The 24,679-nt window shown below is 39.4% G+C and overlaps 1 long non-coding RNA gene across 1 annotated transcript in view; it reads left to right on the top strand.

Annotated features, from left to right (window-relative positions):
- The first annotated feature begins 1,968 nt into the window (after positions 1-1,968).
- LOC105375416 (uncharacterized) overlaps positions 1,969-24,679 on the top strand; it is a 237,202-nt gene continuing 214,491 nt past the window's right edge. The window contains exon 1 of the long non-coding RNA XR_001745293.1: positions 1,969-1,989. This is a non-coding gene — a long non-coding RNA (uncharacterized LOC105375416). The remainder of the gene's footprint in view (positions 1,990-24,679) is intronic.

The following is a 24,679-nucleotide window of genomic DNA, read 5'->3' as shown; positions in this document are numbered from 1 at the left end:
ACTATTAAGAAGACCAAGAAAAACTTTGGGAAAGATGATAATTATGACCTGGGGGTTTCTCAGAGGGAAATGTCCTATGGTAAGGGGAATTAAGAATTAAGCCAGGTGTGCTTCCCTCCAAAGATACAATGTAAACAAATGATTTAACCATTTTTAAATTAAAAATAACAGCAAACAAAATACAAAGTGTGAGTGGCTTTCATGAAAAAGTACAAACTGAGAAAGCCCAAGATGGGAAAGACAGTAGAAGAAATGCTGCTCTACAGGATTTGAGTGTAAACCGTAGAAAGTACAGTGCCTCCTGAGATGAACATCGTGAGGAGTAAATAGAGATGCTATTCTCAGCTCGAAACACCTTTGAACTGAACATTTGTCCTTTAATCAGATTTTTCCGGTCACCTTACACTATAGTCTAAGTTCTTCTCTTTCTCTTTTTGACTGCCATAATCATTAGCAATTTGAGGGAAACTTGGATTTGAGGATCATGTCCAATCTTCTAAATAAAAAGGACGGTTTGGCAAGTAGCCCGTCTACCGAGCTTACGCTAAACTTGGTAACAAAGTCTCAGAAGGTGGAAGGGGAGAAAGGAAACTAACATTCTTTCCCCAGTTGCCTTGCTGGGGCCAGTGGTTCTCAATGCCCACTGCATAACACAATCACTTACAGAGTTTTTTTGCATATAGAAGCCTGTTCCCCACTCCTCTAAAAGTGTGGGGGCTCACGCCTGTAATCCCAGCACTTTGGGAGGCCGAGACGGGCGGATCACGAGGTCAGAAGATCGAGACCATCCTGGCCAACATGGTGAAACCCCATCTCTACTAAAACTACAAAAATTAGCTGAGTATGGTGGCGGGTGCCTGTAGTCCCAGCTACTGGGGAGGCTGAGGGAGGAGAGTCGCTGGAACCTGGGAGGCAGAGGTTGCAGTGAGCTGAGATCATGCCATTGCACTCCAGCCTGGGCAACAGAGCAAGACTCCATCTTAAAAAAAAAAAAATCTAATTAGGTAGCTCTGGAAGGGGGGACAAGAAATGACCATGGGCACTGATCTTAAAAAAAAAAAAATTCTAATTAGGTAGCTCTGGAAGGGGGGACAAGAAATGACCATGGACACTGACCAGCACTGTTACAAACAAATCATCAGTAGTTCTCATGAGCAGCCGAAGTTAAGACCTACATTTTAGGTTCAAAAAAGTGGAAAAATACTATTTGAAAAAGGGTTACTTTTTTTGACAAATCCCTGTTATTTTTCCTTCTTTGAATTAGATCCTTTGTTTTCTACTTTTTATACTTTCCATTAAGGTTTAATTGTAAGTCTGATAGATTGCAACCACTTGGACTTCTAAAACTTAACAAGGTGCCTTGAATATAGTAGTTACCCAATGAGTGTTTTAAGTGTTTGTTGAATGAGTCCTTCACATCTGATGTCAATATGTGAAAGGTTGCTTTAGGCTATCAACTTGACTGGATTAAGGGATACTCAGCTGGTAAAGCATTGTTTATTCTCAATGCTTCTGTAGGCTCTGAGCCTATCCCGCTTCTGCTGAAATGAATCTCAGGTGGTTTTGCTTTTGATTAAAATGGTTTGGCTGCCCCAGGTGTGCCTGTGAGGATGTTTCTAAAGGAGATTGGTGTGTGAGTCAATGGACTGAGTGGGGAAGATCCACCCTGAATGTGGACAAGCACCATCCAATTGGCTGGGGGCCTATATGGAACAAAAGGCAGAGGAAGGGTGAATTCTCCTTCTCTTCTGGAATCAGGGTGCTTTTATTTTCCTGCCTGTGGAACTCAAGGTTCTCCAGCCTTTGGACTCCTGGACTCATACCAGCAGCTCCTCCCAGCTCTTGGGCCTTCAGCCTTGGACTGAGAATTACACCATTAGCTTCCTTGGCGCTGAGGCCTTTGGACTTAAACTGAGCCACGCTACTGGGTTTTCTGATTCTCCGGCTTGCAGACAGCCTACGGTGGGACTTCACAGCCTTCATAATCAAGTGAGTCTATTCCCCTAATACATTTCCTTTTATATGTCTATGTATACTATCAGTTCTGTCTCTCTAGAAAACCCTGACTAAAATAACATGGATAGATATTATTGCTTTCAATTTAAAGTTGGGATACTGGAAAGCTTGAAATTCACTTAGAGAATTACTAGAAATAGCCCTCAGGATTTTATGTTTAGTTGAATATAGTATTTTCACAGATATCAGTTTACCTATCCTAATTAACAGGCATCTATCAACCAAAATAGTGACAGTAGCATCTATCATCTTGCCCTTACAGGCTACGTAAGGGGAAGTTGGAAAGTCACCAGTTTTAAGCCATAATTTGTCTTAGGCCAGCCCTAAAGTAGGTGCTTCAGATGGATGCACCAAGCATTTGCTGAGTGTCTTCTTCTGCCATCTTCTTCTTAAACATCACATTGCAGGGTACGATGGTAGTTGGCAGTTTTGTTTTTTTGTGTTTGTGTGTGTGTGTGTTTTTGTTTTTTGTTTTGTTTTGTTTTGTTTTTTGAGATGGAGTCCCGCTTTGTTACCCAGGCTGGAGTACGGTGGCTGGATCTTGGCTCACTGCAACCTCCGCCTCCCAGGTTCAAGCAATTCTCTTGCCTCAGCCTCCCAGCTACCTGGGATTACAGGCAAATGCCACCACGTCTGGCTAATTTTTTTGTGTTTTTAGTGGAGACGGGTTTTAGCCATGTTGGCAAGGCTGGTCTTGAACTCCTGACCTCAAGTGATCCACCCACCTCGGCCTCCCAAAGTGCTGGGATTACAGGCGTGAGCCACCACGCCCAGCCGTAGTTCAGTTTTTGAAACATAAAATTCAAGCAGATGAATGGACTAAAAATAAACCTGGACATGCTACCATCTTCTCTTTATTCCCATCAACTTTAGAGCATTTTAACCTTATGCCCTGGAAAATAACTAGATTGGCCCTCTCCTTGCCTCTGTGTGGAAAATCTAATGAGAAAACTCATTAATACTTTAAATATGGATATAATTAGGCTTACAAGTCAGCATCTGATATGAGGAAAATTCATGCCATGTTGATCTGTCTATAAAATGAAAATAATGTAAAAAGTCTTCAAAAAGGCGATCAGTGTTCTCTGCTGTAAGAACATTAACTTTACTAAGGGTGTCTGTTCATCTTAAGTGTTAATTTCTTCTATAATTTTTGGTTTGATTATTCATAGTCACACTAAATTGAATTTGGGTATATATATATTTGTAAGGCATCTGCTAGTAAGGGTGACTTTTAGACATTGGTACAGAATCTACCCTCAAGGGGAAAAAATGTACAATTTGAGGACAATCCAAAATTTAGCATAGAAAATAGTGTTCTGCCACTATGTTTGAGATGAAGACATGTGCTTGAAATAAACCAATCATGTATTTTGGTTGTTCACAATGGGTGTGGGTGTGTTTTAAAGGGCAGGTGCCCTCTACTAGGTAAAAGTAGGCAACAACTTCAGGTCTCCTCCACTACTTTCCTACTAGATGGCATGTTACAAAGAAAGCAAGATTTAGACTACATTTTGTTACAGTACAAATATTTATTAGCAATAAGGCTAATAACAGGTCCCAGAGCACCAGAGCAGATTCAACCTTTTCTTTAAGATCTGTGAATTTTGGTTCTATGGCTTTTTTTTTTTTTTTTGAGACGGAGTCTTGCTCTGTCACCAGGCTGGAGTGCAGTGGTGAGATCTCGGCTCACTGCAACCTCTGATCTCGTCTCATTGCAACCTCTGCCTCCCGTGTTCAAGCGATTCTCTTGTCTCAGTCTCCCGAGTAGGAGGGACTACAGGCGTGCGCCACCATGCCCGGCTAACTTTTGTATTTTTAGTAGAGACAGGGTTTCACCATGTTGGCCAGGACGGTCTTGATCTCTTGATCTCATGATCTGCCCGCCTCAGCCTCCCAAAGTGCTGGGATTATAGGCATGAGCCACCATGCCTGGCTGGTTCTATGACCTTTTTAAAAAATAATTTTTTTAAAATTAATTTTGAAAAAGTGTTATATACATACATTTCTGTTCAATGTTGCAGCTACTGTTCCTCCTGACAAGTTTGTCATTTAAAAAAATATCTTCTTAAAAGAAAAAAAGGGATACACGTTCAGAATGTGCAGGTTTGTTGCATAGGTATACGTGTGCCATGGTGGTTTGCTGCACCTACTGACCCATCATCTAAGTTCCTTCCCCTCACTCTGCAGTCCCCAACAGCCCCTGGGGTGTGATGTTCCTCTCTCTGTGTCCATGTGTTCTCATTGTTCAACTCCCACTTATAAGGAAGAACATGTGGTGTTTGGTTTTCTGTTCCTGTGTTAGTTTGTTGAGGATGATGGCTTCCAGTTTCATCCATGTCCCTGCAAAGGACATGATCTCATTCCTTTTTATGGCTGTATAGTATTCCTTGGTGTGTATGTACAACATTTTCTTTATCCAGTCTATCATTGATGGGCCTTTGTGCTGGTACCATGTCTTTGCTATTGTAAATAGTGCTGCAATAAATATACATGTACATGTGTCTTTACAGTAGAATGATTTATATTCCTTTGGGTATATACCCAGTAATGGGATTGCTGGGTCAAATGGTATTTCTGGTTCTAGATTCTTGAGGAATCGCCATACTGTCTTCCACAATGGTTGAACTAATTTACATTCCCACCAACAGTATAAAAGCATTCCTAATTCTCAAGAGCCTCACCAGGATTATTGTTTCCTTACTTTTTGATAATTGCCATTTTGATTGGCATGAGATGGTATCTCATTGTGATTTTGACTTGCATTTCTCCAATGATCAGTGATGTTGAGCTTTTTTTGTGTGTGTTTGTTGGCCACATAAATGTCTTCTTTTCAGAAGTGTCAGTTCATATCCTTTACCCACCTTTTGATGGGGTTGTTTTTCTTGTAAATTTAAGTTCCTTGTAGATTCTGGATATTAGACATTTATCAGATGGGTAGATTGCAAAAATGTTCTCCCATTTTGTAGGTTGCCTGTTCACTCTGATGATAATTTCTTTTGCTGTGCAGAAGCTCTTTAGTTTAATTAGATCCCATTTGTCAATTTTGGCTTTTGTTGCAATTGCTTTTGTGTGTTTTTGTCATGAAATCTTTCACATCCCTATGTCCTGAATGGTATTGCCTAGGTTTTCTTCTAGGGTTTTATGGTTTTGGGTTTTACATTTAAGTCTTTAACCCATCCTGACTTACTTTTTGTTTAACGTATAAGGGAGTGGTCCAGTTTTAGTTTTCTGCATATGGCTAGTCAGTTTTCCCAGCACTATTTATTAAATAGGAAATCCTTTCCCCATTGCTTGTATTTGTCAGGTTTGTTGAACATCAGATGATTGTAGATGTGTAGTGTTATTTCTGAGGTCTCTGTTCTGTTCCATTGGTCTATATGTCTGTTTTGGTACCAGCACCATGCTGTTTTGGTTACTATAACCTTGTAGTATAGTTTGAAGTCAGGTAGTGTGATGCCTCTAGCTTTGTTCTTTTTGCTTAGGATTCTCTTGGCTATACTGGGCCTTCTTTGATTCCATATGAAATATAAAGTAGTTTTTTCTAATTCTGTGAACAATGTCAATGGTAGTTTGATGGGAATAGCATTGAGTCTATACATTACTTTGGGCATTCACAATATTCTTCCTATCCATGAAGATGGAATGTTTTTCCACTTGTTTGTGTCCTCTTATTTCCTTGAGCAGTGGTTTGTAGTTCTCCTTGAAGAGGTCCTTCACATCCCTTATTAGCTGTATTCCTAAGTATTTTATTCTCTTTGTAGCAATTGTAAATGGGAGTTCATTCATGATTTGGCTCTCTGCTTGTCTATTTTTGGTGTAAAGGAATGCTTGTGATTTTTCCACATTGATTTTGTATCCTGAGACTTTGCTGAAGTTGCTTATCAGTTTCAGGAGTTTTTGGGCTGAGACAATGGGGTTTTCTAAATATAAAATCATATCATCTGCAAACAGAGACAATTGGACTTCCTCTCTTCCTATTTGAATACTTTTTATTTCTTTCCCTTGCCTGATTGCCCTGGCCAGAACTTCCAATACTATGTTGAATAGTTGTGGTAAGAGGTCATCCTTGTCTTGTGCCAGTTTTCAAAGGAATGCTTCCAGCGTTTGCCCATTTGATATGATATTGGCTATGGGTTTGTCATAAATAGCTCTTATTATTTTGAGATATGTGCCATCAATACCTAGTTTGAGTTTTTAACATGAAGAGATGTTGGATTTTATCAAAGGCCTTTTCTGCATGTATTGAGATAATCATGTGGTTTTTGTCTTTGGTTCTCTTTATATGATGGATTACATTTACTGATTTGCGTATGTTGAACCAGCCTTACATCTCAGGGATGAAGCTGACTTGATCCTTGTGCATAAGTTTTTTGATGTGCTGCTGGATTAGGTTTGCCAGTATTTTATTGAGGATTATTGCATCGATGTTCGTCAGGGATATTGGCCTAAAGTTTCCTTTTTTTGTTATGTCTCTGCCAGGTTTTGATATCAGGATGATGCTGGCCTCATAAACTGAGTTAAGGAGGAGTCCCTCCTTTTCAGTTGTTTGGAATAGTTTCAGAAAGAATGGTACCAGCTCCTCTTTGTACGTTTGGTAGAAATTCAGCTGTGAATCTGTCTGGTCCTCGGCTTTTTTTGGTTGGTAGGCTATTACTACCTCAATTTCAGAATTTGTTATTGGTTATTCAGGGATACAGCTTCTTCTTGGTTTAATCTTAGGAGGGTGTATGTATCCAGGAATTTATCCATTTCTTCCATATTTTCTAGTTTATTTGCCTAGAGGTGTCTATAGTATTCTCTGATGGTAGTTTGTATTCCTGTGGGGTCAGTGGTGATATTTTCTTTATCATTTTTTATTGTGTCTATTTGATTCTTCTCTCTTTTCTTCTTTATTAGTCTAGCTAGCAGTTTATGTATTTTGTTAATTTTTTCAAAAAACCAGCCCCTTTATTCATTGATTCTTTTGGAGGGATTTTCATGTCTCTATCTCCTTCAGTTCTGCTCTGATGTTAGTTATTTCTTGTCTTCTGCTAACTTTTGGATTAGTTTGCTCTTGCCTCTCTAGGTCTATTTATTATGATGTTAGGGTGTCAATTTTAGATAGTTCTAGATTTATGATGTGGGCATTTAGTGCTATAAATTTCCCTCTTAACACTGCTTTAGCTGTGTCCCAGAGATTCTAGTAGGTTGTCTCTCCGTTCTCATTGGTTTCAAATAACTTCTTGATTTCTGCCTTCATTTCACCATTTACTCAGGAGTCATTCAGGAGCAGGTTGTTCAATTTCCACATAATTGTGTGGTTTTGAGTGAGTTTCTTAATTCTGAGTTCTAATTGGATTGCACTGTGGTCTGAGAGACTGTTACTTTTTCAGTTCTTTCATATTTGCTGAGGAGTGTTTTACTTCTGATTATGTGGTCGATTTTAGAATAAGTGCCATGTGGCACTGAGTAGAATGTATATGCTGTTGATTTGGTGTAGAGAGTTCTGTAGACGCCTACTAAGTCCACTTGATCCAGAGCTGAGTTCAAGTCTTGAATATCCTTGTTAATTTTCTGTCTCGTTGATCTAATACTGACAGTGGGGTGTTAAAGTTTCTCACTGTTATTGTGTGGGAGTCTAAGTCTCTTTGTAGGTTTCTAAGAACTTCTTTCATGAATCTGGGTGCTCCTGTATTTGGTGCATATATATTTAGAATAGTTAGCTCTTTCTATCGAATTGTTCCCTTTACCATTATGTAATACCCTTCTTTGTCTTTTATGATATTTCTGGCTTAAAGTCTGTTTTGACAGAGACTAGGATTGCAAACCCTGCTTTTTTTTTTTTTTTTTTTGCTTTCCATTTGCTTGGTAAATTTTTCTCTATACCTTTATTTTTAGCCTATGTTTGTGTCTTTGCACGTGAGATGAGTCTCCTGAATACAGCACAATGATGGGTCTTGACTCTTTATCCAATTTGCTAGTTGTGTCTTTTAATTGGGGCATTTTTCTCATTTATGTTTGAGTTTACCTTTGCTATGTTTGAATTTGATCCTGTCATTATGATGCTACTTGGTAATTTTGCACACTAGTTGATGCAGTTTCTTCATAGTGTCATTGGTCCTTATATTTTGGTGTGTTTTTGCAGTGTCTGGTACTGGATTTTCCTTTCCATATTTAGTGCTTCCTTCAGGAGTTCTTGCAGGGCAGGCTTGGTGATAATAAAATCCCTCACCATTTGCTTGTCTGAATAGGTTTATATTTCTCATTTTCTTATGAAGCTTATTTTTGCTGGATATGAAATTCTGGGTTGAAAATTCTTTCCTTTAAGAATGTTGAATATTGGCCCCCAATCTCTTCTTGTTTGTAGATTTTCTGCTGAGAGGTCTGCTGTTAGTCTGATGGCCTTCCATTTGTAGGTGACCTGGCCTTTTTCTCTGGCTTTCCCTTGACAGTTTTTCCTTCATTTTGACCTTGGAGAATCTGATGATTATGTGTCTTGGTGTTAATGTTCTCATGGAGTATCTTAGCGGTGGTCTCTGTACTTCCTGAATTTGAATGTTGTCCTGTCTTGCTAGGTTGGGGAAGTTCTCCTGGATAATATCCTCCAGTGTGTTTTCTAGCTTGTTTCCATTCTCCCAATCTCCTTCTCGTACTCCAATCAATCATAGGTTTGGTCTTTTTATGAAGTCCCATATTTCTTGGAGGCTTTGTTCATTCCTTTTCATAATTTTTTCTCTAGTCTTGTATGCATGCCTTATTTCAGTAAGGTGGTCTTCAAACTCTGATATCTTCTCTTCCACTTGGTCGATTCAGCTATTGATACTTGTGTATGTTTCACAAAGTTCCTGGGCTGTTTTTCAGCTTCATTAGGTCATTTATGTTCCTCTCTAAACTGGTTATTCTAGTTAGCAATTCCTCTAAACTTTTATCAAGTTTCTTAGCTTTTTTGAATTGGGTTAGAACACTGAGCTCCGTTAGCTCAGTGTAGTTTATTACCCATCTTCTGAAGCCTACTTCTGTCAATTCATCCATCTGTTCCTCCATCCAGTTCTGTACCCCTGATGGAAAGACATTGCCATCATTTGGAGGAGAACAGGCACTCTGGCCTTTTGTGTTTTCAGCAATTTTTTGTTGATTCTTTCTCATCTTTGAGTTTGTCTAGTTTTTGAGACTGCAGACCCTTGGATGGGGTTTTTGTGGGGGCTTTTCTTGGTTGTTGTTGATTCTTGTTGTTGCTTTCTGTTTGTTTTTCTTTCAATGGTCAGGTCCCTCTTCTGTAGGGCTGCTGCAGTTTGCTGGGGGCTTTAGCCCCTATTCATCTGATTCACTCCCACACCTGGATATGTCTCTTAAGGAAGCTGGAGAGCAGCAAAGATGGGTGCCTGCTCATTCTTCTGGGACCTCTGACCCTAAGGGGCACCAAGCTGATGCCAATAGGCTCACTCCTGTATAAGGTGTCTGACAGCCTCTGTTGGAGGGTCTCACCCAGTTGGGTAGCACGGGGAACAGGACACTTTTAATGAAGCACTTTGTCCCTTGGTAGAAGGGGTGTGTCTTGCTGGGGGGAAACCCACTTGTCTGAGCTGTCCAGATTCCTCAGAACTACCAGGAGGAAAGGCTGTGTCTGCTGGCCTGCACAGACTGCAGCCACCCCTCCCCCTAGGGGCTTAGGCCCAGGGAGATACAGGTTCTGTCCCTGAGCCTCTGGCTGGAGTTATTGGAGTTCCTGAAGGGAAGTCCTGCCCAATGAGGAAGGATGGATCGGGGTCAGGCCTCAAGAGACACTCTAGTCTATGGCCTTTTAAGTACTTCATTGAAAACTTTTGCCTGAAAGCTTCCCTTCAATGCAAAACTGATTATTGTTTTTAAGAAGGTTCAGGTTAATTTTGGATTGGCTCAGGTGAATTTTGGATTGACTGAGGCAACAGAACACTCCTTTAAGAGGTGGGCATACAACTGAGTGGAATTCTAGGCCAAAAGATTTAATCCTAAGGTGGAAGGATGATGGACTCATCAGTTTCTTATGCTACCTTCATGCAGTCATAGAGGTATCAGTCCAATATTTCTAGGCAACCCATATATCATAAACACAGTTCATTTCATCAAAGAAATACTAATTTTAACATTTATACTGATTGATGAACTTGGGAATTAAGATAGTAGTATTGAAGCACTAATAGTAGCTGGGTTAGGAGTGTGGCCTTTTGATGAGGGTATTTCAAAGGTTTGTTAACCAGTTCTATAGTATGAATTTGTCATTAGAATCTCTTAAAAGTTAATTGTCTATAGTTACATAACTCGCAAATATGTAATGTTGTCTGTGATTAAGTGGATTCAAGCAAATTACATTCAGTCTATCAACAGGGTAAGAGTTTTAGAAGGCTAGATTTGGAGTTGATTTTAGATAAAATATGTTGTTTCAGCATTTACCTCGCCATGTTCCTTCCTCCCATAGAACCTGTAGAACACTCATGGGCCAGGAATGGTGGCTTACACCTGTAATCCCAGCACTTTGGGAGGCCAACGCGGGAGGATCATGAGATCAGGAGATCAAGACCCATCCTGGCTAACATGGTGAAACCCCGTCTCTACTAAAAATGCAAAAAATTAGCTGGGCATGGTGGCGGGGGCCTGTAGTCCCAGCTATTCTACTCTACTCGGGAGGCTGAGGCAGGAGAATGGCGTGAACCCAGGAGGCGGAGCTTGCAGTAAGCCGAGATCGCGCCACTGCACTCGAGCCTGAGCAACAGAGCGAGACTCCGTCTCAAAACAAAAACAAAACAAACAAAAAAACACTCACGATGCCATGTTCACATCCAGTGTAGTTTGCCTGTTCTCTGTACCCAACAGAGGCCAAAGATTATCCTTTTATCATGGGTTATTTTCTTAACCATGGGAGATTAAAAACAAAAACAGGCCGGGCATGGTGGCTCAAGCCTGTAATCCCAGCACTTTGGGAGGCTGAGGTGGGCGTATCATGAGGTCAGGAGATCAAGACCATCCTGGCTAACAAGGTGAAACCCCGTCTCTACTAAAAAATATAAAAAAAAGTAGCCGGGCGTGGTGGTGGGCGCCTGTAGTCCCAGTTACTCGGGAGGCTGAGGCAGGAGAATGGTGTGAACCTGAGAGGTGAGCTTGCAGTGAGCCAAGATCGTGCCACTGCACTCTAGCCTGGGAGACAAAGCGAGACTCCGTCTCAAAAAAAAAAAACAACTTCACTTGGTGTCATGTCTCCCAAAATGTCATAGGTTTTATGTACCAAGACCAGCGATTAAGCATGAAAAGACCTCCTTCTATAACTAGGAGATCTGTCAGAAGCCTGGTCTGGAATAGGATGTAAACTCCTCATTCTTCACCTGTGAGCAGGTCTTTGGAGGTCCTGAACTAACACGGATCAATTCACTACCAGTCACTGGCAGTTAGTCATTTGGACACAGCAATATGCTTCTTGGAATCCATCCAAATGCTTTCCCCAATCTCTTGCCAAATGATTCAAAAGCACTATAGTGCTGTTCTGGTTTGTTTACAAACTGCAGCCTACCAGGCATTTTTCTTTTAAATGTAACAGCTTCTATTGTCTCTAAAACATTAACCAAGAACAATGGGAGCAAAGAGTGAACTGCAGGCGGATGGAGCGGTGGGCTGGTAGCAAGCGGGGTCCCCTCCCCACCTCCTGCATGACCCTTCCTGGATCCATCCCTGGCTCTTCTCAGTCCCTAGTGCTTCATCTATATAATCAGCTCCTATCCTGGCTGAGAACATCTCCTCAGCAACCTTTCTATGCACAAACGGTGCGTCCGGAGACTTAAAAAGTTATATCTAATTTGAAGGCTTTCTTTTACCGGAACAAGACAATTACTGATTTCAGAAAGTAGTCTGTGAAAATAAAACATGGAACAAACACATAAAAATTTAGCTCATTTGTCTTAATTCCCAAATAGGATTGCAATGTAAGCCTACATCATGAATACCTCAGAACACAGTATAAAAACAACCTGTGCTTGTAACTCAAGCAGTTTGTTTGCAATATCAGAAAGGAAAAGGTTTTTTGGGGAAAATCGTTTACTGTATACATTTTTATTCATTATTTTCTTCCTGTTTTTACTACAAATGCAATTAAGTGCCATGGAATGTAGATATAGTGGTCTATTGCTATGACTAACACAGCAGCTTTAAAAACTATTATTTACTTATTTCGTGGTTATAAAAGAATATGTTCTCTGAGTAGAGAATTTGGCAAATAAATAGAAGCATAAAGAAAGATGTACAGGCCAGGCATGGTGGCTCATGCATGTAATACCAGCATTTTGGGAGGCCAAAGCAGGCGGATCACGAGGTCAGGAGATGGAGACCATTCTGGCCAACGTGGTGAAACCCCGTCTCTACTAAAAATACAAAAATTAGGTGGGTGTGGCGGCACGTGCCTGTAATCCCAGCTACTCGGGAGGCTGAGGCAGGAGAATTGCTTGAACCCAGGAAGCGGAGGTTGCAGTGAGCCGAGATTGCGCCACTGCACTCCAGCCTGGCGACAGAGCGAGACCCCGTCTCAAAAAAATAATAATAATAATAAGGATGTACAAATTGCCACATGGTTAACCTTCAGATGTGTTTCGTGATAGACATTTTTTTTCCATGATTACTGGCTGTATATTAATTTAGACTTACAGTCTCTCTCTATTATATAATACACATATGTATTTAGGTGTGTATAATGGCTTTATATGTCAAGTATTAATAGATATACTTTTTCTCATACTCTGTATTTATCCAATGACATTCCTCTATTAAGGGATTATCAGCAAAAGAAGCAGAGTACCAGAATGATTTTTTGATTGGAGTTTGGAAAAGACTGATAATAAGCTATCAGCTTTTTCTCCTTCTCGTACACCCAGTCTCCAGACCAGATGAAGATTCCCAGGTCTGAAGAAGAAAAGCAGCATGTAGATTTCCATCGGCCTGCTCTGTCTCACTGTTCCTCTGCTCCCACCACCTCAGTCAGTGTGGTAGAGCAGGCTGGGCTGAGGGCATGCGAGTGGCAAGTCCATCCCTGAGATAAGTTTGGGGACCCTGAGCTGAGCGTGTGCTCCTGCCTTTCGATAGTTAGCAGACTCATAGCTGTTTCCTGTGCTTTTGTGGTGTGGGAGCCACGGGACAGTAATCGTCACAAGGGATGTTAGGACAGAGTGATGTCTTGGTGTCCTTCATTGTCCCCAAAGGAAGACAGAAGAGCCGCTAGCCTTCCACATGCCTCAAAAATTGGCCATTTATGTAACCCAGGTTGGAGAGAACTCACTGACTTCAGGGCGATTTGGCATCCTCAGGAAATGACCAAAAAAAAAGGAGCCAGGGTGGGCCACTCAGCTGGCCTTGCTGAAGCAAATGAATGGTCAGCTCAGAAGGGGTTACAGAGGAAGCCGATCACCCCTGGAGTAGCAGGCCAGCACAAAATGAGTGGAAGTTGTGCACAGGCATTCGATAAACCTCTGGAGCCCAAGCATCAACTCCGGTGGAGAAGTGTTAAAGAACTGGGTTTTAAAATTTCATTGCTTGAGAAAAACACAGAAATTGACTGTGCTTACCTAGAAGCAACTATGTGAAATATTCTGCATTAGGCAGAAGGGAGGTTTGAGGCATACAGAAACAGAACAAGGGGTTTTGGACTGTATGATTATGAAATTTGTATTCATGTCATACATCTCCAAACAAAAACAAACCTCACTGGGAAAGAAGAGAATAAAATTTCTTGTGAGCTTTCTTCTAGGGACTATAGGTAGAAGAAGAAACTCTACCTAATATTTTCATATTGAACTGGCTAACAAGAATCTCTGAAGACAAAGCTTCTTTGTATTCTTTGTGTTATTGAGTGAATATACTTATTAAAGGCTTTTTGGTTCTGGACAACACTTAAGTGACTTTTTCTTTATGCAGAGGTGGGCTTATCTGAAATGGAAGAAGACAAGTTAGATCACTCTACAAAAGAAAGTCATAGAAAACTGTAATTTCCCTCTAATGGGTATCAGAGAATGGAAATTAGGACTATTGCAGAAGAGATAAGAGTTAAAAGGAGGAGAATAGTCTGGAGGGTGAAAATGAGCCCATCCTTTCACCCCTACCCCTACATCTTGGCCACAGATGTCAGCAGGTAGGAGCAAGATAGCTAGTGAAAAATTTCCGGGGCAAGTAAGGCTGAGGGGATTTATGAATGGTGGTAGTACATATTCGACACTCAGTGTTATTCTCTTTCCCATTTCCCTAAGGGAAACTTGAATTCTGGGTAATTAGCTGTTCCTCCTCAGGCACAGAATCTGGGACAGTTAATCAGCTTCCCTGTTCTGACTTATCAAAGGGCAGGCACGTGACCAAGATAGACCATTTGGAATTGTGGTTTTAGTAGAGTGAAAAGGATTGAAAATGGTTGGAGTTGATTCATTCTGGCACTAGTGCCCAATCCAGATGATCCTGCTTGTTTCTTAGCCCTGTGGAGCCTGCCCATTTCTAATTCTAGTTCACCAGCTTTCTCATCAGTTTTGTGAGCTCCTGACACTTCCAATATATTCCATTGGGAACCAGCATAATGTAAGAGACTAAGAGTATGTGTATATTTGAGACTGAATCCTGATTCTAAAACTTTCCATCTTGTGTTTCTCTGTCTATGAAGTGGCAACTTTAATGCTTCTTATGTCATAGGATTGTTCTGAGAATTAAATGGAGATGAAAAACTTAGAAAAGTACCTGCTATGAATCAAGTTTTCAATACATTTTAGCTAATGATATTAAATTAACTACAGTGGGTTTCTGTGGTTTACAGATACATAACTTATCACAGTGATACAATGATAATATCTAACTTTTCCCTGTTTGGTACATAATATACACATTTATGGGGGTACTTGTGACATTTTGATACATATATACAATATGTAATGATCAAATAGAGGTAATTAAGATATCCATCACCTCAAACACATCATTTCTTTGTGTTGGAAACATTCCAAATCTTACAGCTGTTTTGAAATATACAATACATTAATAAATATAGTCACCCTACTGTGCTAACAAACACTAGAACTCATTCCTTCTATCTTACTATATTTTTGTACCCACTAACCAACCTCTTTTATTGTCCCTACCCTCTCCAGCTTCTGATGGCCACCATTCTACTCTCTAACTCCATGAGATCAATGGTTTTTTAAAAAAATTTTAAGTTCTGGGATACCCTTTGCAGGACGTGCAAGTTTGTTACATAGGTAAACATGTGTCATGGTGGTTTGCTGCACCTATCAACCCATCACCTAAGTATTAAGCCCTGCATACACTAGCTATTTATTCTGATGATCTCCCCCACCCACAGGCCTCAGTGTGTGTTGTTCCCCTCCCTGTATCCATGTGTTCTCATTGTTCAGCTCCCACTCATAAGTGAGAACATGTGGTGTTTGGTATTCTGTTTCTGCATTAGTTTGCTGAGGGTGTGGCTTCGAGCTCTATCCATGTCCCTGCAAAGGACATGATCTCACTCCTTTTTATGACTGCATAATATTCCATGGTATATATGTTCCACATTTTCTTTATCCAGTCTATTATCAGTGGACATTTGGGTTGATTCCATGTCTTTGCTATTGTGAATAGTACTGCAATGAACATATGCATGCATGTATCTTTATAATAGAATAATTTATATTCCTTTGGGTATATACCCAGTAATGGGATTGCTGGGTCAAATGGTATTTCTGGTTCTAGGTCTTTGAGGAATTGCCACTGTCTTCCACAATGATTGAACTAATTTACATTCCCACCAACAGTGTAAAAGCATTCCTAGTTTTCCATAGCATCACCAGCATCTGTTGTTTCTTGACTTCTTAATAATCGCCATTCTGACTGGCATGCGATGGCATCTCATTGTGGTTTTGAACTTTTTTAGCTCCCACATGTGAGTGATAACATACGATATTTATCTTTCTATGTCTGGCTTATTTGACTAATCATAATGACCTCCAGTTTTAGCCATGTTTCTACAAATGACAGGATTTCATCCTGTTCTATGGCTGAATAATACTCCATTATGTGTGTATAAACCACATTTTCTTTATCCATTCATCTATTGATGGACACCTAGGTAAATTCCACATCTTGGCTATTGTGAATAGTGCTGCAATAAACATGGGAGTGCAAATTTCTCTTCAATATACTGACTTTCTTTTTGTTGAATATATACTCAGCAATGGGATTGAATGGGTGGTGAATAGTCAATATGAATTCTGTAGAGAAACAGATACATGTGGTTTAAGCATTAACAATGACATTATAAATGAGAGCTTTACAAGACAGAGCTGGGAGTTTCTTTGGTCCTCTGGGCTAGTCAGCTATCCCTGGAACATTGTTCTTGGTTCTGAGTGCTTCTGGGATCAAGAAAGCACCTAAGATAGCAGCTATCCATTGATGAGGGAACTTGGAATCAGACTGTACAAAAATATCAAATAGGATTGCATTTAGGTGCATGTAATACAAACCCTGTTCTCACATTCTTGGGGTGTGGCTCTTGTTCCCTTGGCCACCAGATGGTTGCTCCATCTATAGGCATGGCATCTGCATTTCAGGCGGTAAAGATGTGAGATAGCGGTGAAGGGCAGAAGGTACATCTGTTCCTTATTGAACAAGAAAAAAACCACAACTTTTTGGTCCACCTACCCCATAGGCATTTGCTTAAATCTCATTGGCCAGAACTAATGACCTTAGGAAAGACTTGCCTGCAAGTTCTAACTAAACTGAAATTAAGCTTTACTGTTAGTTCTGGCTAACTGTACAAGGAGGTGTGAGGAGGGGGATATTTTTAACTGGGCTTGTTGTCCTTTACGAAAATCAGAGTTGTGATAATAAAGAAAAGAAAGAGAGTGCTTATTGGGTAGGCAACTCACCATAAGTACTACAATGAGAAGCCAGGGAAGAACTGAGAAACTGAATCTATGGAGAACAAGAAAACACAGTATTTGAAGGTATCATTATAAATCCAGACATCGGTTGGATAGCTTTCTTTCACCAGCTCCCTCTTGTCTATCTGTTGTTTCTGTCCTTCAATTAATGCCTCAGCTTCTACCCCTAGTTCTGGAAAGACAGAATGAGATGGAAATGAAAGAATACATGTGAAAGTAGTTTTCTAAAAATGCTTGACTAACCCTACCAAGATGTATCTGGTTTTGGATTTCATTTGCTGCTACCTTAATTATCCAGTGATAGTCACAGATAGAATTTCTTAAGCACCTATTATAAGGCATAGATATTACTATTCTTAATTTGTTGGATAGGAAATTAATGTTTACAAAGGGTAAGTCTATTGGTGACACAAGAGGTGAATCTGGGATTTGATCTATCATCTGAACTACTTCGAGCACATGAGAGGTGCTCATGTTAAACACCTCATGCCTTACGCTCTGAGCTGGGTGCTGTAGTCTGCTTAAAAGCTCTGACTTTATTATTATGAATGCCCTATGCCAAAAGAACATTTCTAGAAGAATCCTGTGTTTCTTAACCTGCGGCCCTCATATTACAGGTAGTTTTGAAACAGGAAAGGTTCCTTTGTCCCCCTCGCAGGGCAAGCGATGGAGTGGTTCCCTTCTTCAGTGCTCTGCTGCTCAAACCTCTAGGGGAACAGGCAGACAGGCAGGCTATGGGGCTCTGGACCCCACGGCAGTGTCTAGGGGTGAATGTTTACAGCTCCTGAAGCCCCAGTGGGCGTGTGTTTCAGGGTGCTCTCTTTGCCGTCTATAGGCAGCTTGTGTTAACCAGGTCAATTAGACCTTCTATCTTGTCTCAAGGACAGAGGGCTTTCTGTATCCCGGGTTCTTGCCTTGGTGTACCGGAAGAATCGGATCACACGTGGGCTTGGAGAATGAGTGCAAAGTTTTATTGAGTGGAAGTAGCTCTCAGCCAATGGGGAAGCCAGAAGGAAGATGATCTTCCCTTGGACTTGGGCTGCTCAGTGGCCCTGGCTCTCAGACTGTCCTGGCCAAACTCTGCCTCCTCCCCCTGGTAAATGGCCTGCCAAAGTGTGTGCTCTTCTGCCGCTGTACTCTTCTGCCGGTGTGCTCCCCTTGACGTCCTCTTGATGTCCAGGAGCTTGTGTCTTCTTCCGTGGATCTGCTACTCTCAACATCCAGCCGCCTCTGTCTCTGCCTTGCTAGGGTCTCTAGGGTTTTTATAGGCCCAGGATGGGGGCATGGAAGGCCAGGGTGGTCTTGGAAAATGCCACATTTGGGCGGGAAGGCAGAGTGCCTGTCCGTGGGGGTAGAGCTCTAGCCAGGGACCACGCCCTCCTCACGCAGCACTTCCCTTCCCCATTTCCTATCATTTAAAGGGACCAGGCTCTTCCCTTCCCAGCACTCCTGCGTCAGTTTCATTATTTTAAAACATCCATGGGAGCTTTATATTTACCTATTATTACACTGCTGAGGGGAATGAAGTAGCATGTCTCTTTCCTTTTGATGTGAATCTCAGCAATTTTACCTATTAACACTGGGACTGAACAGAAAATGACTTGCAATTATATGTTGTCATCTAATTCAAAATGGAGAATCAAAGTAGTATTATTGAATCAATGTAATGTAGGTACTTGAGAAAAGAAGCATATAAAACTTGAGACTCCCAGGAGTCAAAAGATAGTATAGTCAGTAGAAAGTTTGGGGATAATCATAGCAACGAAACACAAAACCTGAGCAGGCTTCTCTTTAGTATATCATGTGGCAACATGAGTCATTCAGGGGCTGAAGTTCATCTATCTTTTTTTTCTTTCTTCCTTTCCTCTACCTCTTTCTTTTGTTCCAAGTTCTCTGTCACCCAACATCACCCCTCACTGGCTTTCTGGAGCTGGGCCCAGTCCACCTACATCACAGCAGGGATTTTATCAGTGGTAGCAACAGAATCCAGCCAGTGGCCGCTTGCTCTCACTCATTCCCTCAGACAGCGAGCATCTGCTGGATGGTTTTCTGAAATAATGTACCGTATTTTTTAAAAGGTCAACAATGCAGAGGCTAGCCATGCTGATTGTGGAAGCAGGATGCACAACAGGTAGTAATGAGACAGGGTTTTTCTTTCATCCAGTTTAACAAAGGTGGTTGTCCTCTAACTGTGATCTGATCTGAGATTGTTTTGTTTCCACGGTGAAAGCCCAAGTAGAAAGGGATTGCCACATATATACTAAGGAGGGACATGTGTCTAATGGGGGTAGCTTAATGCTGTATAAAGACCATGGTTTGCTTTTCCCGGTTCCGTCCTTTTCAGGACTCATATTTCAGTTTTCAATACCCACAAAAATACTATTACTCTCTAGGCAGTAATTTGGAGAAATGACTGGGTATTTCCCGGTAGTAGGGAGTTGGTGGGGGGAGCGGGTGATGTAAGAGCAGCCTGGGAATCAAGCACAAGTTAGCAGAGATGGAGATGATGTGGAAAGTGTGTTAAAGGCCTACAAATCTGTAGTTTTTAACTTCTATTGGGTGTAGAATCTAAATACAAAAGAAAACAATTGGAATTCTGGAACTTTGAAGATGAAAGGTCTTTAGAGATCTTTAAGTCCTCTTACGTTACAGCTGAAGCACAGAGATACACAAAGAAAAAGTGAGGGCCCAAGACTACAGAGCTGTTCAGTGGCAGCACCAGCCTCTGCCCAGTGTGGACCATAGCTCATAAGTTACATAGGAAACAGAGACAACAAATTATTCCTTGGAAAAGATACAAGGTGACCACTTTAGGCCTTGCCAAATGTGGGGGAAATGATTTGTGAAAATCTGGAAAGATCCTAAAAGGTCATTTAGTTCAGTCTCTGTCTTACTGATTTCAAAATGTTTAGTGTTTTCTGTAATTATTTTATTAAATTTTTAAATTTTGAGATGATCGTAGATTCACAGTAGTTGTAAGAAATAATGCAAAGAGATCTTGTGTATCCTTTGCCTAATTTCTTCCAATGGTGCTATCTTGCAAAACTATAGTAAAATGTTACAACCAGGATATTGGCATTGACATAATGAAAATAAAGAACAGTTTCATCACCAGAAGGAGACTTCCTATTGATGGTTCATAGTCACACACCTCCCTCCCTCCCCCAATCCCACCTCTGCCATAGACCGCTGGAAACCATTGATCCGTTCCTCATCTCTACTACTTCGTCATTTCAAAGATGTTATATAAATAGAACCATAAGATCTATAAGTAGAAAAATAAAATCCTAATCTTTGGAGATTCATCTTTTTTACTTGGTGTAATTTCCTTAAGATTTACTCAAGTTGTTTTGTGTTATCAGTAGTTTATTCCTTTTTTTTTTTCTGTGGAGTATTCCATGATATGAATGTGCCAAAGATTATTCACCCATCAAAGGACATCTAGGTTGTTTCCAATTTCTGGCTATTGTGAATAAAGCTGCTATGGACACTCATGTACTTATTTTTCTATGAACCTATCTTCATTTCTTTGGCATAAATGCCCAGGAATGCAATTCCTGGGTCATACAGTAGTTGCATATTTCAGTTTATGAGGAACTGCCGAACTTCCTTCCAGAGAGACGGTATCATCTTACATTCCTACTAGCAACATATGAGCAATCCACTTTCTCTACTTTGTCACTAGCACTTGATGTTGTCATTAATTTTTATTTTAACCATTTCAGTAGGTGTGTATTGATAGCTCTAGTGTTTTTAATTTGTATTTCTCTAAGGCTAATGATGTTAAACATACTTCATGTGCTTATTTTTTATCTGTAGCTTTGGGGCAAATGTCTATTCATATATTTTGCCTATGTTTCTGGTTGGATTTCTAAAAATTGTTTTTGAAAGTTTTTTGTATATTCTAAATACTAGTTTGTTGGAAATATGGTTGGCAAGTATTTTCTCCCAGTCAACAGCTGTTGTGCCTTTACATTCTCCTCAAGTGGTCTTTTGCAAAACAGAAGTTTTTGATTTTGATGAGGTCTAATTTATCAATTCCCCTTTAGTGTGTTATGTTTTGGAGTCAAACTGAAGATCTCAGTGTAGTCCTTTCTAGTCCAATGTCTCAAAGATTTTCTCCCATGTTTTTTCACTAAAAGTTCTATAGTTTAACATTTATGTTTAACATCGTGGCCAGGCGTGGTGGCTCACGCCTGTAATCCCAGTACTTTGCGAGGCCGAGGCGTGCGGATCACGAGGTGAGGAGATTGAGACCATTCTGGCTAACATGGTGAAACCCCGTCTCTACTAAGAATACAAAAAATTAGCCAGGTTTGGTGGCGGATGCCTGTAGTCCCAGCTACTTGGGAGGCTGAGGCAGGAGAATGGTGTGAACCTGGGAGGGGGAGCTTGCAGTGAGCCGAGATTGCGCTGCTGCACTCCAGCCTGGGCGACAGAGGGAGGCTCTGTCTCAAAAAAAAAAAAAAAAAAAAAAAAGATAGTGATATATTTTGAGTTGACTTGTGTAAGGTATAAGATTTACGTCAACTTTTTTTTTTTGCCTTCAGCATCATTCGTTGAAAAGGCTATGGTTTATCCACTGAATTGCTTTTGCACCTTTGTCAAAACTTGGTTGGACATATTTATGTGGATCTATTTCTGGGTTCTCTATTCCATTTATTTATGTGTCTAATCCTCTGCCAAGACTATATACTTTTGATTCCTGAAGCAATATAATAAGGCTTGAAATCAGGTAAAATGAGTGCTCTCACTTTAGTCTTTTTAAAAAGTGTTTTAACTATTATAGGGCCTGTGCCTTTTAAATAGATTTTAGAATAAGCTTGTCTATATCTACAAAACATCTTTCTGGGATTTGGATGGGAATTGCATTAAATCTACAGATCAATTTGGGGAGAATAAACATCATTACTATACTGAGTTTTCCAATCCATGAGAACAGTGTGCCTCTTCATTTATTTAGGTGTTATTTGATTTTTTTCAATCAGAATTCTGTAATTTTCAGCATACAGATACTATACATGTTAAGTTTATACCAATATAAGTATTCTACTTTCTTTGGCAAGATTAAAAATGAAAGTACATTTTAAATGTTGATTCCCATAAAAAATAGTATATAGAAACTCTTTGTTAGTATATAAAAATGTTGATTTATATATGTTAATCTTGTGTCCGGAGACCTTACTGACCTTGCCTATTAATTCTAGGAATTTTTGTAGATTCTTTGAGATTTCCTACATACAGTATCATATCATCTGCATTACAGACAGTTTTATTTCTTACTTTCCCATCTGTATATCTGTTATTTCCTTTTCTTGCCTTATTTCAGTTGCCAGAACATCCAGTATTATGTTGAAAAAGAGTAGTAAGAGCAAATATCCTTGCCTTATTCCTCATTTTAGAAAATATTGTATTTAGCTGTTCACGATTAGGTGTTACGTTAGCTATAAGAGTTTTGTAGTTACTATTTTATCAAGAAGATGTGGTTACTCTCTATTTCTAACTTGCTGAGAGTTTTTATCATGAATGGGTGTTAGATTGTGTTAAGTGCTTTTCCAGTGCCAATTGATACGATCATATTTTTTCTTCTTCTTTATCTGGTAGGTATGATAGTTTACATTGACTTTTTTCCAAATGTTGAACAAATCTTGTATGCCTGGAATAAATCCTACTTGGTTACGGAGTATAATTTTTTCTATACATGGTTGTATTCAATTTGCTGATATTTTGTTGAGGATTTTTGGTTCTAAGTTTATAAGAGATATGGGCTGATTTTCTTTTTTGTATTTTCATTTGGTTTTGGTGGCAGGGCAATGCTGGCCTCATAAAATGAGTTGGGAAATCTTACCTCCTCTTCTGTTTCTGAAAGATATTTTGTAAAAATCATGTTAATTCTTTAAATGTTTTATAGAATTCTCCAGTGAAACCATCTATACCTGGAGATTTATTTTCAGGAGATTTTAAATTACAAATTTAAATTTTTCAGTGATTGAAAGGGCTGTTCAGATTACTTACCTCATCTTGCTTGAGTTTTGCTAGTTGTGGTTTTGAGGAATTATTCTATGTCTTCCTAGGTGCCAAATTTATTAGCGTAAAGTTGTTCACAGTATTCCATTTAATAGCTGCAGGATTTGTGGTGATATCCCTTGTTTTATTCTGAATATCAATGATTTGTGTCCTCTCTTTTCATATTTGGCAATCTTATTAATTGTACTTTTTAAAAAGTTTTTTGTTATTTTTCTGTTTTCCTGTTTTCAAGTTCATTGATTTCTGCTCAATTATTTCCTTCCTTCTGCATGCTTTGGATTTTAATTTTTCTTTTTTTTTGTTTTAGTATCTCAAAGTAGTAACTTAGTTATTGATTTTAGATCTTTTCTTTTTTCTAAATTAAACATTTAATATCATAAATTTCCCTCCCAGTACTGACTTAAGTGCTTTCAACATATTTTGATATGTTGTATTTTTACATATTTTTTTCATGTCCCAGGATATGATCCTTTTTTTTTGTTTAATGTCCCAAGATAGTCTTTTTTGGTGAATAGTCCATGGTGTTCAGAGAAAAGAAAAAAAGTATATTGGGCTGATGTTGTGTGGCATATTCTATATATGTTAATTAGATCCTGATTGTTGATTGTGTTGATCAATTCTTCTATATCCTTGCTGATTTCCTGTCTGGTAGTTCTGTCAGTTTCCGAGGAGGGAGCTTGTGGTGGTTAACTATTTGTCCATTTCTCCTTTCAGCTGTTTCACTTTTTGCCACACGTATAGAGTCTCTGTTTCTTGTTTTTGTTTTTTGGTGCATACATGTTTTAGGATAGTTATATCTTCCTGGTGGGTTGGTCTTTTTATTATTGTATAATGATGCTCTTAGCCTGAAACAATCTTCTTCCCTCTAAAACCTACTTTATCTGATATTAATAGAACCACTGTTGCTTTGTTTTGTTTGCATGCAATATCTTTTTCCATCCTTTTACTTTCAACCTAATCATCCTTGAATTTTAAGAGTTTCTTGTAAACAGCATAAAATTGGGTCATGTTTTGTATCCACTACCAATCTGTCTTTTAATTGATGTAGTAGACCATTTATATTTAAAGTAATTATTGAATGTGTTAAGACATAAGTCTGCCATCTGATTATTTGTTTTCTATTTGTTCCCTCTGTTTCTTAATCTTTGGATTCTCTTCTCTTGCCCTGCTGTGAAATACTTGAACAGTGTTAGAGTTTTATCTTGATTTTATGTGTTGCATTGTATTACTTTGCATAAATTTTTTTTAGTGGTTCTGGGTATTGCAGTATACATATGTGACATCACAGTCTATTGGTATCAACATTTTATTACTTCAAGTGAAGTGTAGAAACTATTTGCTTTTAGGTTCCTCTACCTCCACATTCTTAGATATCATTGTTTATAATATCAGATGATTTTAAAATGTTTGTTTCAAGCATCACATATGATTTAGAAAACTCATAAGGAGATCTTGTTGTGCATACCCATATTTGTGCTCTTTTCATTCTTCTTACTTCCGTCCTGATGCTCCAAGTTTCCTTCTTTTATCATACCCTTTCTGTTTTAAAAACTTCAAAACAGGATATTTTTGTTAGTGACTATTTTTTGTTTGTTTTTCTTTATCTGAGAATGTCATTATTTCCCTTTAATCCTGAATGATGGTTTTGAATTCATTGTTGACAGTTCTTTTCTGATAGCACTTAAAAAATATTATCTCACTTCCAACTGGACTCTTTTTAGATAAGA

The sequence above is a fragment of the Homo sapiens genome, chromosome 7 (genome assembly GCF_000001405.40).
Source record: "Homo sapiens chromosome 7, GRCh38.p14 Primary Assembly".
Lineage (NCBI taxonomy): Eukaryota > Metazoa > Chordata > Mammalia > Primates > Hominidae > Homo > Homo sapiens.
Note: the sequence above shows the minus strand (reverse complement) of the source record. Positions and strands in the feature narration are given on the sequence as shown.